General features: G+C 41.1%; 1 annotated feature.

The window, feature by feature from the left end:
* Positions 989 to 1,536: an enhancer, noted in NCBI's record as "H3K27ac-H3K4me1 hESC enhancer chr5:16335723-16336270 (GRCh37/hg19 assembly coordinates)". NCBI's record gives its function as "activates a minimal SCP1, AML or CMV promoter by ChIP-STARR-seq in primed H9 embryonic stem cells {active_cell/tissue: H9 hESC(primed)}" and the evidence as "EXISTENCE:reporter gene assay evidence [ECO:0000049][PMID:30033119]".

Raw genomic sequence — 13,503 nt, forward strand, 5'->3', positions numbered from 1 at the left:
GACATGGAAGAAACTTAAATGGATATTACTAAGTGAAAGAAGCAAATCTGAAAAGGCTACATACTGTATGATTCCAACTATATGATGTTCTGGAAAGACATATCTGTGAAGACTATAAAAAGACCAGTGGTTGCCAGGGTTTAGTGGGAAGAGAGGGAAGAGTACAGGCAGAGCACAAAGATTTTAGGGCAGTGAAACTTCTGTATGATACTTCAGTGATGGATACACACCATTATACATTTGTCCAAACCTGTAGAATGTACATCAAGGGTGAAGACTCATGTAAACTATGGACTTTGTGTGATAATGGTGTATCAATGTAAGTACATCAATTTTAACAAATGTACCACCCAGGTGCAGGATGTCCATAGCAGAGGAGGTTGTACATGTGTGGGGGTATGGGGCATATGGGAACTCCTTAAACTTTCCACCCAATTTTTCTGTAAACTTAAAACTGGTCTGAAACAATAAAAATAAATAGTTTTTTAAATTAAAAAAATACTAGTTTTAAAAATAAATTCATGATAGAGCAATGTATATGCTTCTTTATTAACATGATAATCACAAGTCTAATAACAAAAATTTCAGTGTACTAATGACTATCAACAGTATTTTAAGATATTTGTAACAAATGTAATATTGTATAAACTTGTCTGTGATTTCTATTGGTGATAAAGTCACAAGTAAAGCTAATACTACTGTGATTGTTGCTTATATTTATAATAAAAGGAAATGCTACATTTTGGCTAGAGGTTAATAAAAATAAAGATATAGGCTATTACCTCGGGGAGGAGCCAAGATGGCCGAATAGGAACAGCTCCGGTCTACAGCTCCCAGCGTGAGCGACGCAGAAGACGGTGATTTCTGCATTTCCATCTGAGGTACCGGGTTCATCTCACTAGGGAGTGCGAGACAGTGGGCACAGGTCAGTGGGTGCGCGCACCGTGTACGAGCCGAAGCAGGGCGAGGCATTGCCTCACTTGGGAAGTGCAAGGGGTCAGGGAGTTCCCTTTCCGAGTCAAAGAAAGGGGTGAGGGACGGCACCTGGAAAATCGGGTCACTCCCACCCGAATACTGCGCTTTTCCGACGGGCTTAAAAAACGGCACATCATGAGATTATATCCCACACCTGGCTCGGAGGGTCCTATGCCCACGGAGTCTCGCTGATTGCTAGCACAGCAGTCTGAGATCAAACTGCAAGGCGGCAGCGAGGCTGGGGGAGGGGCGCCCGCCATTGCCCAGGCTTGATTAGGTAAACAAAGCAGCCGGGAAGCTCGAACTAGGTGGAGCCCACCACAGCTCAAGGAGGCCTGCCTGCTTCTGTAGGCTCCACCTCTGGGGGCAGGGCACAGACAAACAAAAAGACAGCAGTAACCTCTGCAGACTTAAATGTCCCTGTCTGACAGCTTTGAAGAGAGCAGTGGTTCTCCCAGCACGCAGCTGGAGATCTGAGAACGGGCAGACTGCCTCCTCAAGTGGGTCCCTGACCCCTGACTCCCGAGCAGCCTAACTGGGAGGCACCCCCCAGCAGGGGCACACTGACACCTCACACGGCAGGGTATTCCAACAGACCTGCAGCTAAGGGTCCTGTCTGTTAGAAGGAAAACTAACAAACAGAAAGGACCTCCACACCAAAAACCCATCTGTACATCACCATCATCAAAGACCAAAAGTAGATAAAACCACAAAGATGGGGAAAAAACAGAACAGAAAAACTGGAAACTCTAAACAGCAGAGCGCCTCTCCTCCTCCAAAGGAACGCAGTTCCTCACCAGCAACAGAACAAAGCTGGATGGAGAATGACTTTGATGAGCTGAGAGAAGAAGGCTTCAGACGATCAAATTACTCTGAGCTACAGGAGGACATTCAAACCAAAGGCAAAGAAGTTGAAAACGTTGAAAAAAATTTAGAGGAATGTATAACTAGAATAACCAATACAGAGAAGTGCTTAAAGGAGCTGATGGAGCTGAAAACCAAGGCTCGAGAACTACATGAAGAATGCAGAAGCCTCAGGAGCCGATGCGATCAACTGGAAGAAAGGGTATCAGCAATGGAAGATGAAATGAATGAAATGAAGCAAGAAGGGAAGTTTAGAGAAAAAAGAATAAAAGGAAACGAACGAAGCCTCCAAGAAATATGGGACTATATGAAAAGACTAAATCTACGTCTGATTGGTGTACCTGAAAGTGATGGGGAGAATGGAACCAAGTTGGAAAACACTCTGCAGGATATTATCCAGGAGAACTTCCCCAATCTAGCAAGGCAGGCCAACGTTCAGATTCAGGAAATACAGAGAACGCCACAAAGATACTCCTCGAGAAGAGCAACTCCAAGACACATAATTGTCAGATTCACCAAAGTTGAAATGAAGGAAAAAATGTTAAGGGCAGCCAGAGAGAAAGGTCGGGTTACCCTCAAAGGGAAGCCCATCAGACTAACAGCGGATCTCTTGGCAGAAACCCTACAAGCCAGAAGAGAGTGGGGGCCAATATTCAACATTCTTAAAGAAAAGAATTTTCAACGCAGAATTTCATATCCAGCCAAACTAAGCTTCATAAGTAAAGGAGAAATAAAATACTTTACAGACAAGCAAATGCTGAGAGATTTTGTCACCACCAGGCCTGCCTTAAAAGAGCTCCTGAAGGAAGTGCTAAACATGGAAAGGAACAACCGGTACCAGCCGCTGCAAAATCATGCCAAAATGTAAAGACCATCAAGACTAGGAAGAAACTGCATCAACTAATGAGCAAAATAACCAGCTAACATCATAATGACAGGATCAAATTCACACCTAACAATATTAACTTTAAATGTAAATGGACTAAATGCTCCAATTAAAAGACACAGACTGGCAAATTGGATAAAGAGTCAAGACCCAACAGTGTGCTGTATTCAGGAAACCCATCTCATGTGCAGAGACACACATAGGCTCAAAATAAAAGGATGGAGGAAGATCTACCAAGCAAATGGAAAACAAAAAAAGGCAGGGGTTGCAATCCTAGTCTCTGATAAAACAGACTTTAAACCAACAAAGATCAAAAGAGACAAAGAAGGCCATTACATAATGGTAAAAGGATCAATTCAACAAGAAGAGCTAACTATCCTAAATATATATGCACCCAATACAGGAGCACCAAGATTCATAAAGCAAGTCCTGAGTGACCTACAAAGAGACTTAGACTCCCACACATTAATAATGGGAGACTTTAACACCCCACTGTCAATATTAGACAGATCAACGAGACAGAAAGTCAACAAGGATACCCAGGAATTGAACTCAGCTCTGCACCAAGCAGACCTAATAGACATCTACAGAACTCTCCACCCCAAAGCAACAGAATATACATTTTTTTCAGCACCACACCACACCTATTCCAAAATTGACCACATACTTGGAAGTAAAGCTCTCCTCAGCAAACGTAAAAGAACAGAAATTATAACAAACTGTCTCTCAGACCACAGTGCAATCAAACTAGAACTCAGGATTAAGAATCTCACTCAAAACCGCTCAACTACATGGAAACTGAACAACCTGCTCCTGAATGACTACTGGGTACATAACGAAATGAAGGCAGAAATAAAGATGTTCTTTGAAACCAATGAGAACAAAGACACAACATACCAGAATCTCTGGGACGCATTCAAATCAGTGTGTAGAGGGAGATTTATAGCACTAAATGCCCACAAGAGAAAGCAGGAAAGATCCAAAATTGACACCCTAACATCACAATTAAAAGAACTAGAAAAGCAAGAGCAAACACATTCAAAAGCTAGCAGAAGGCAAGAAATAACTAAAATCAGAGCAGAACTGAAGGAAACAGAGACACAAAAAACCCTTCAAAAAATTAATGAATCCAGGAGCTGGTTTTTTGAAAGGATCAACAAAATTGATAGACCACTAGCAAGACTAATAAAGAAAAAAAGAGAGAAGAATCAAATAGACGTAATAAAAAATGATAAAGGGGATATCACCACCGATCCCACAGAAATACAAACTACCATCAGAGAATACTACAAATACCTCTATGCAAATAAACTAGAAAATCTAGAAGAAATGGATAACTTCCTCGACACATACACTCTCCCAAGACTAAACCAGGAAGAAGTTGAATCTCTGAATAGACCAATAACAGGATCTGAAATTGTGGCAATAATCAATAGCTTACCAACCAAAAAGAGTCCAGGACCAGATGGATTCAGAGCCGAATTCTACCAGAGGTACAAGGAGGAACTGGTACCATTCCTTCTGAAACTATTCCAATCAATAGAAAAAGAGGGAATCCTCCCTAACTCATTTTATGAGGCCAGCATCATTCTGATTCCAAAGCCAGGCAGAGACACAACCAAAAAAGAGAATTTTAGACCAATATCCTTGATGAACATTGATGCAAAAATTCTCAATAAAATACTGGCAAAACGAATCCAGCAGCACATCAAAAAGCTTATCCACCATGATCAAGTGGGCTTCATCCCTGGGATGCAAGGCTGGTTCAACATGCACAAATCAATAAATGTAATCCAGCATATAAACAGAGCCAAAGACAAAAACCACATGACTATCTCAATAGATGCAGAAAAAGCCTTTGACAAAATTCAACAACCTTCATGCTAAAAACTCTCAATAAATTAGGTATTGATGGGATGTACTTCAAAATAATAAGAGCTATCTATGACAAACCCACAGCCAATATCATACTGAGTGGGCAAAAACTGGAAGCATTCCCTTTGAAAACTGGCACAAGACAGGGATGCCCTCTCTCACCACTCCTATTCAACATAGTGTTGGAAGTTCTGGCCAGGCAATTAGGCAGGAGAAGGAAATAAAGGGTATTCAATTAGGAAAAGAGGAAGTCAAATTGTCCCTGTTTGCAGACGACATGATTGTATATCTAGAAAACCCCATTGTCTCAGCCCAAAATCTCCTTAAGCTGATAAGCAACTTCAGCAAAGTCTCAGGATACAAAATCAATGTACAAAAATCACAAGCATTCTTATACACCAATAACAGACAAACAGAGAGCCAAATCATGAGTGAACTCCCATTCACAATTGCTTCAAAGAGAATAAAATACCTAGGAATCCAACTTACAAGGGACGTGAAGGACCTCTTCAAGGAGAACTACAAACCACTGCTCAAGGAAATAAAAGAGGATACAAACAAATGGAAGAACATTCCATGCTCATGGGTAGGAAGAATCACTATCGTGAAAATGGCCATACTGCCCAAGGTAATTTACAGATTCAATGTCATCCCCATCAAGCTACCAATGACTTTCTTCACAGAATTGGAAAAAACTACTTTAAAGTTCATATGGAACCAGAAAAGAGCCCGCATCGCCAAGTCAATCCTAAGCCAAAAGAACAAAGCTGGAGGCATCACACTACCTGACTTCAAACTATACTACAAGGCTACAGTAACCAAAAGAGCATGGTACTGGTACCAAAACAGAGATATAGATCAATGGAACAGAACAGAGCCCTCAGAAATAATGCCGCATATCTACAACTATCTGATCTTTGACAAACCTGAGAAAAACAAGCAATGGGGAAAGGATTCCCTATTTAATAAACGGTGCTGGGAAAACTGGCTAGCCATATGTAGAAAGCTGAAACTGGATCCCTTCCTTACACCTTATACAAAAATCAATTCAAGATGGATTAAAGACTTAAACGTTAGACCTAAAACCATAAAAACCCTAGAACAAAACCTAGGCATTACCATTCATGACATAGGCATGGGCAAGGACTTCATGTCTAAAACACCAAAAACAATGGCAACAAAAGACAAAATTGACAAATGGGATCTAATTAAACTAAAGAGCTTCTGCACAGCAAAAGAAACTACCATCAGAGTGAACAGGCAACCTACAAAATGGGAGAAAATTTTTGCAACCTGCTCATCTGACAAAGGGCTAATATCCAGAATCTACAATGAACTCAAACAAATTTACAAGAAAAAAACAAACAACCCCATCAAAAAGTGGGTGAAGGACATGAACAGACACTTCTCAAGAGAAGACATTTATGCAGCCAAAAAACACATGAAAAAATGCTCATCATCACTGGCCATCAGAGAAATGCAAATCAAAACCACTATGAGATACCATCTCACACCAGTTAGAATGGTGATCATTAAGAAGTCAGGAAACAACAGGTGCTGGAGAGGCTGTGGAGAAATAGGAACACTTTTACACTGTTGGTGGGACTGTAAACTAGTTCAACCATTGTGGAAGTCAGTGTGGCTATTCCTCAGGGATCTAGAACTGGAAATACCATTTGACCCAGCCATCCCATTACTGGGTATATACCCAAAGGACTATAAATCATGCTGCTATAAAGACACATGCACACGTATGTTTATTGCGGCATTATTCACAATAGCAAAGACTTGGAACCAACCCAAATGTCCAACAATGATAGACTGGATTAAGAAAATGTGGCACATATACACCATGGAATACTATGCAGCCATAAAAAATGATGAGTTCATGTCCTTTGTAGGGACATGGATGAAATTGGAAATCATCATTCTCAGTAAACTATCGCAAGAACAAAAAAACCAAACACCGCATATTCTCACTCATAGGTGGGAACTGAACAATGAGATCACATGGACACAGGAAGAGGAATATCACACTCTGGGGACTGTTGTGGGGTGGGGGGAGGGGGGAGGGATAGCACTGGGAGATATACCTAATGCTAGATGACGAGTTACTGGGTGCAGCACACCAACATGGCACATGTATACATATGTAACTAACCTGCAGAATATGCAAATGTACACTAAAACTTAAAGTATAATAAAAATAAATAAATTAAAAATAAAAATAAAGATATAAACTTTATTTCATTTAAGTTCAGGGTCCCTGAATTTTATTCATAAACTCCTTGATGGATGGGGAGTCTGTGGATTCCTCACTTAGATTATTCTAAACAAATTGGATTGATTTTGTTGTAAAGAAAAACTGCAGCAATTAGGAAGGGAACCGTGGAACCATCTGAGAACGCACTGCAGTAGTTAATTGTTACTGATAATCTAACTACCAACTAGTCTTTGTTGCTGAAAAAAATTTGCTTTCTGAGTCATCTTTGTTGAACTTTGGTTTTTTTAGCACCTGCTACAGGCTGAATGTGTCCCCTTCAAAATTCATATGTTAAAACCTAATCTGCAATGTGAACATATTTGGAGGTGGGGCCTGTAATTAGGTTATGAGGGCAGAGCCCTAGTGAATGGGATTAGTGCCTCTTTATAAAAGACTCCAAGGGGCTCTCTTGCTCCTTTTGCCCCTTCCACCATATGAAATGACAATGAGAAGATGGCAGTGTATGGACAAGGAAATTGATCCTCACCCGATAATGAATCTGCAATTAATCTTAGACTCTCCAGCCTCCAACATGCTGAGAAATAAATTTCTGTTGTTTATAAGCCACCTTGTCTATGGCATTTTGTTATAGCAGCCCAAATGGACTAAGGCTGCCTCCTTGATGTTTAGGCTATTAGATGGCTTCTCTTGGGCTCTTACTGTTCTGCCATTATTAATCCCTTCCCTGTCCAGTCCGTTGGACCACATGCAGATTCAGCCCAAATCAAGTCCTGATTCAAAGGTATCAAGGCTCAGTGATGTGCTATGAGCTTTTCCCTCAACCTGGTTTGCTGGCCATCTGCTCAGGCTCCTAGTTTCTAATTGTCACTGTTCTTTTCTATGGCATTGGAGTCTAGATTCTAGCCTTAAGCATCAATTTATTCTGCCTGTTCTCTTCACTGTAAGAAAAGCATGTCTTACTCTCCATTGCTCCTCCAGCATGGGTACCAGATTGAAGAACACTTGAATCCAACCTGAGCATGGAGCTTAGCCAAGCCCAACCAAGTAGAGACAAGATCAGCTAAATCACAACTGACATGTAGACCCATGAGCATGAGCAAATGTGTGTTGTGTAAGCCTCTGAGATTTGGTAGTTCTTTGACACACAGCATTTGGTGGCAAAACCTGCCTAATGTGAACTATTTACCTCTAAACTCTGTAGGGCATTGAATAAAAGAAACATGCTGAATTGGAAAGAGCCATTTTTTGTTGTGTTTTGCATTATAGCAGACTGCAACTCTGAAAACAGGTCGATGTCCAGGGTTTCAGTGGCAGATAGCAGCACCTCAAAAATGGTTGCTGACATGGTGGTTCTTGTCTGCATGACAGAGTGAGACAGATACGACTGTTCTCGGCAGAGATGACGGCAGTGCCTAATAGCATCCCAAGTACCAGCACCAGCAGCACAATGTCCACTGACAGGGCAGTGTGCTATGAATTACGGACCCCAGAAGTTTACATGTTGAAGCCTTAACTCTAAGTGTGACTGTATTTGGAGATGGGGCCAGTGGGAAGTAATTAGGGTTAGATAAATTCATGAGCATAGTGTCCTCATGATGAGATCAATGCTTTATAAGAAGAAGGAGAGGGAAAGACAGAGATAAGTCTCTTTCTCTACCATGTGAGGACACAGTGAGAAGGCAGCCATCTACCACACAGCAAGAGAGCCCTCACCAAAAACTGAATGCTGATGGACTTTAATCTTGGACTTCCCAGGGCTCCATAACTGTGAGAAATAAATGTCTTCTGTTAACATACTCACCTATGCTATAGCATTATAGCATAGCAGCCCAAGCTAAGACAAGGTGCCTTGTGTAGCAAAAAGAGGATAGAAGACAAAGAAGAGGAAAGCACATCATAGAAGACCAGGCAACCTTTGTACCTGTGGAGTTAAGATGGTGTCCAGAACACTGAAAAATACTTTGCAGTATTTCTGTGCAGGAAACTCAGATTCTACATCCTAACAGGAGGGTCAAGACCCAGTAAAACAGAAGTTAATAACAGCAACAGCAACAGTAGGTAACACAAATTTCTCACTCTGTGCCAAGCACTAGTCTAACAGCTTTTTGTGTGACAATTCATTTAATACTTTTGGAAGATACTATTATCTTCCCCTATTTAATAGATAAGGAAATCAAGGCACAAGATAGTTGAGAAATTTACCTGAATATGCATAGCTGTACTGGAATTTGAATCTAGACTGGTTGATTCTAGAGTACTTTTAATCTTGGTGCTCATCTATGTCTCTGGATCACTAAAAATGTCCTGGGTAATTAGTCCTGGCAGCCGGGTGGCCCCCACCTCTGGCTGCCCACTGGTTGTCTTAAAGTTGCAATTCCTTGAAAACCTTTCTGCCTCTTTCCCTTAAGTATCCTGTAGAGGTGATTCTTCTTCTTCTTTTTTTTTAACTTTTATTTTAAGTTCAGGGTACAAGTACAAGTGCAGGTTTGTTACACAGGTAAATTTGTGTCACGTGGGTGGCAAGGTGGGGGGTGTTTTACAGATTAGTTCATCACCAAAGTATTACCCCTAGTACCCATTAGTTATTTTTCCTGATTCTCCTCCTCCTCCCACCCCTACCCTCCAAAAGGCCCCAGTGTGTGTTTTTCCCCTCTATGTGTCCACGGGTTCTCATCATTTAGCTCCCACTGATAAGTGAGAACATGCGGTATTTGGTTTTCTGTTCCCGTGTTAGTTTGCGAAGGATAGTGTCCTCCAGCTCCATTCTTATTTCAGCTGCCAAGAGTCAAACTTCACATACATCCTCATTTGGAACTTAAGTCATCAGAAACATCTCACCTTTCCTAATGTTGGGGCTCAGAAAATGATATCCCCAAAATGTTGCTTTGGACTTCAAACTGAGAACACCTTGGAAGCAGCAAATGCAGAACTCTGATGTTCCCTTATCTGCCTAAGGAAAGTTCCTCCAGAAGAAATGCAGTTGTCATGATACCCCTTCCTATAATCTCATCAAACAGGGATGATTAACTCACGGGAAAGGAGACTAAAGGGAAGGTTCATACCACCTATTCTTTTGAGGACTCCTATCTAACAGACTTTATCTGAATAACAAGACAAACTTTGTTTACCATGTTTTGCTTTCCCTCAACCTCCTATAACTTGTCACCACCTCCTCTGAGAAACCTCAACCCCTATTTATTTCTGTAGCTCAGGATACTATAAAAATTTCAACCATCTGGCCCTCCTTTGAGTTTTATTTTGCAAGACTCCTGAGTATGCATGTCATCAATTTACACACCTTTTCTCCTGTTAATCTGCCAACTGCTAGTTTATTCCAGAGACTTAAATTATCAAACCTTCAGAAGATAGAAGGAAAATTCCCCGATTCCTACACTAACATAAGTTTCTAATAAAACAGTTTCATGTGCTTGAACTACCTTTAGGAAAATTGGAGTCCCATCTAATTTTCATTTATTCATTCATTCAACAAATATTATTGGGTACCTACTATATAGCAGGCATAATTCTAGGCAGACAGATTGTAGAAGCAATAAAATAGAGGTCCTGCTCTCATAGACTCACATTCTAGCTGGGGAACAGGGGAGAGATATACAGTAAACAAATATATGTCAGGAGAAGATATAAATCAAGGAGAAAAATAAAGGAAAGTGTATTTATGACCAGAGAAAATAGCAGGTGGTTTCCCAGATAATAAAAATCCCATAGTTCTATAATTAAACTGTGTCACAACATCACATATATTCAGGTATTTCTCAGGTCAAATCATGACCATTACAAAAGCTTACATATACGAAAATTCTAGTAGACCATGCTACCTCATAAGGAGATGTTATCCTTATGAGTATGAAGACATTAAAGTAACGTTAGCAGTGGTGAATCCATATGGGTCTGCACCATCTTGATTCTTGCCTCCTTGAAGGAAAGGGGCATAAGGCAGAGTGAGAGACTGAGGCAAGTTTTTAAGCAGGGGTGAGTTTATTAAAAAGTTTTAGAGCAGGAATGAAAGGAAGTAAAGTACACTGGGAAGAGGGTAACTTGAGAGCTGGTGACTTGAGAGATCCAAGTGTGCTGTTTGACCTTTGACTTGGAATTTTGTATGTTGGCATACTTCTGGGATTTTGTGTCTCTCCTCCCTTGATTTTCTCCCTTAGGGGGAGCTGTCTGCATGCACAGTAGCATCCCAGCACTTGGGAGGGGCTACATGCGCAGTGTGTTTACTGAAATTGTGTACATGCTCATTTAAGACATTTTTCCCTTACCAGTCAAGCATTCCTAGAGGAAGGTCACAGACCAGTTAAACACCATTATTTTGCCCCTTAGTGTGCATGCTTGAGCCCACTTGCCCAACTCCTGAGATCCTAGTGGGAAGCTGCTGATCACCAGCTTCAGGTGTTTTCTATGCACTGGGAGACTGCCTTTCCCTGGCGCCAGCTATGACCAATTATTATTTTAGAGAGACAGTTTAACAACCACCTGAACATCACCTGATGTTTGCCTGACATTCCTGAGGTTGGGCGGGATGTGGGGTGGGAGGCTCTCCTGCCATGCTCACGTCAGTCTAGCTATCCATTCTAATAATAATAATTGCATGTATGTGCATTTTTTCCAAGATCTTATTATATACAAAATTTATATTCATTAAAAGCCTAGCCCCTTCTTTTTTGACTCCACAGTGACCTTGATATTAAAAAATATTGTTTGAAAAGTCCAGTGGCTAAATACTCAGAGAGGAGAAACAAACTTTAAAAATTCTGAAATAATATGAAAACTTGAACTGAAGTTATTTTTCAAGTAGAAATATTCCTTAAAAGGAAGTCCTACAACAAAATCTCTACACAAATGTGTTTTTTAAAGGAGTCTCTGATTTCTGTGTCCATAAGGCTGGAGATTTGTGTGTGCTTCCAGTACCCCCACTGAATTTCTAGGCAGAATTTCTTGGAAGATTTCACACCCTGATTTCCAGAACCTGAGAATGTGAAGTCACTCCTATGACTCTGTTATGTTGTATGGCACAGTTGACCTTAAAAATGGGGAGATTATTTGGGTGAACCTAATCTAATCCCATTAGCCCTTAACAGCAGAGAACTTTCTCCTGATGGTGGCATAAGAGGAAAGCAGAAGACAGAAGGGACATTCAGGGATATCTGAGGCATGAGAGGGATTTAACATCCCATCATCACTGGCCGAAGATGGAGAGCTGCATAAAGGGGACTTCATTCCTGTAAGGACTGGATCCAACTGTAAGGAACTGGATCCTGCCAACAGCCTGAAGAAGCTTGGAAGCAAGCTTTTTCTCCAGAACCCCTAGAAAGAAATGTAACCTTGGTATGTTGCTGGTTGTTTTTTTGTTTTTGTTTTTATTTTTGTTTTTGTTTTTTTGAGACAGAGTTTTGCTCTTGTTGCCCAGGCTGGAGTGCAATGGCACGATCTCAGCTCACCACAACCTCCGCCTCCTGGGTTCAAGCCATTCTCCTGCCTCAGCCTCCCCAGTAGCTGGCATTACAGGCATGCGGCACCACGCCTGGCTAATTTTGTATTTTTAGTAGAGACAAGCTTTCTCCAGGTTGGTCAGGCTGGTCTCGAACTCCCAACCTCAGGTAATCTGCCCACCTCAGCCTCCCAGAGTGCTGGGATTACAGGCATGAGCCACCGTGACCAGCCACTAGCTTTTATTTTAGCCTTGTGAGATTCTGGAGCAGAGAATTCAGCCAAGCCCACCAAGACTTCTGACCTACAGAACTGAGAATTAATTAATAGTATTGCTCCAAGGCCCTAAGTTTGCAATAAGTAATTAAGGCAGCATAAAGAAAACTAATACACCCACTTATCCTGTGCCATGGCAAATGTCTCTAAACAGTTTCAGTTTCTGTTGTTAGGACTGTTTCTACTGGATTCACCCAACTGAACAGCTTATCACAGTATTGAAAACAGTGTTGTTCTCTTCCTATTACTTTGACTTTGTCTTTTCTGTGGTGCTGTTGTTCTTTCCTTGTGCTGGTACCGTATCCATTAATTAGTGACAGACACTTTCTTGGGGTCATTTTGTGCTCTGCATTACTGGGTGCATTGTTTGTTGTGTTAGCTGAGGATGCCTGATATCTTGTTAGCCTGGTCCTACCATTCTTTCAGCAATCTTTGCCTGTATCTACAGTTCTCCCATTTTAACCAAAGTGTAATAAATCAAAGCAGTCAAACTAACAGTGGAATTCATTTTATTCCTCACATAACTTACTGTTTTAAGTATAAAATTAGCTGTTGTTTTGTTACTTGGTAGATTGCAGCATCAGCAAGTTGAAGAACATTGGCAGCCTCACAATCATTATTGGAATCTGGTAGTCATTTTTGCTACAATGTGTGGCTTACTTCTCAATCATAGTAAAATATGAAAATATCAGGATCTCTTAGAAAACTTTAGTCATGATGCATGACCTGAACTCTGTGAAAATTAACTCTTCTTTCCAAACAGGGTGACCAACCTCTGCAAGCTACAAAACTCCGCTTAAGATTCTCTTGTACAAGGATCTCCAGCTGCAAAGAGGAAGGTCACTGGGCAGGATGGAAGCAGATTTCAGTCCAGTAGAAAAGAATGCCTGGGAGTTAGGCTGGGAGTTAGTTAGGGTTAGGGTTGGCGTTAGGGTTAGGGTTAGGGTTAGCAAAT

This window comes from Homo sapiens, chromosome 5 (assembly GCF_000001405.40).
Source record: "Homo sapiens chromosome 5, GRCh38.p14 Primary Assembly".
In the NCBI taxonomy this organism is placed as follows: domain Eukaryota; kingdom Metazoa; phylum Chordata; class Mammalia; order Primates; family Hominidae; genus Homo; species Homo sapiens.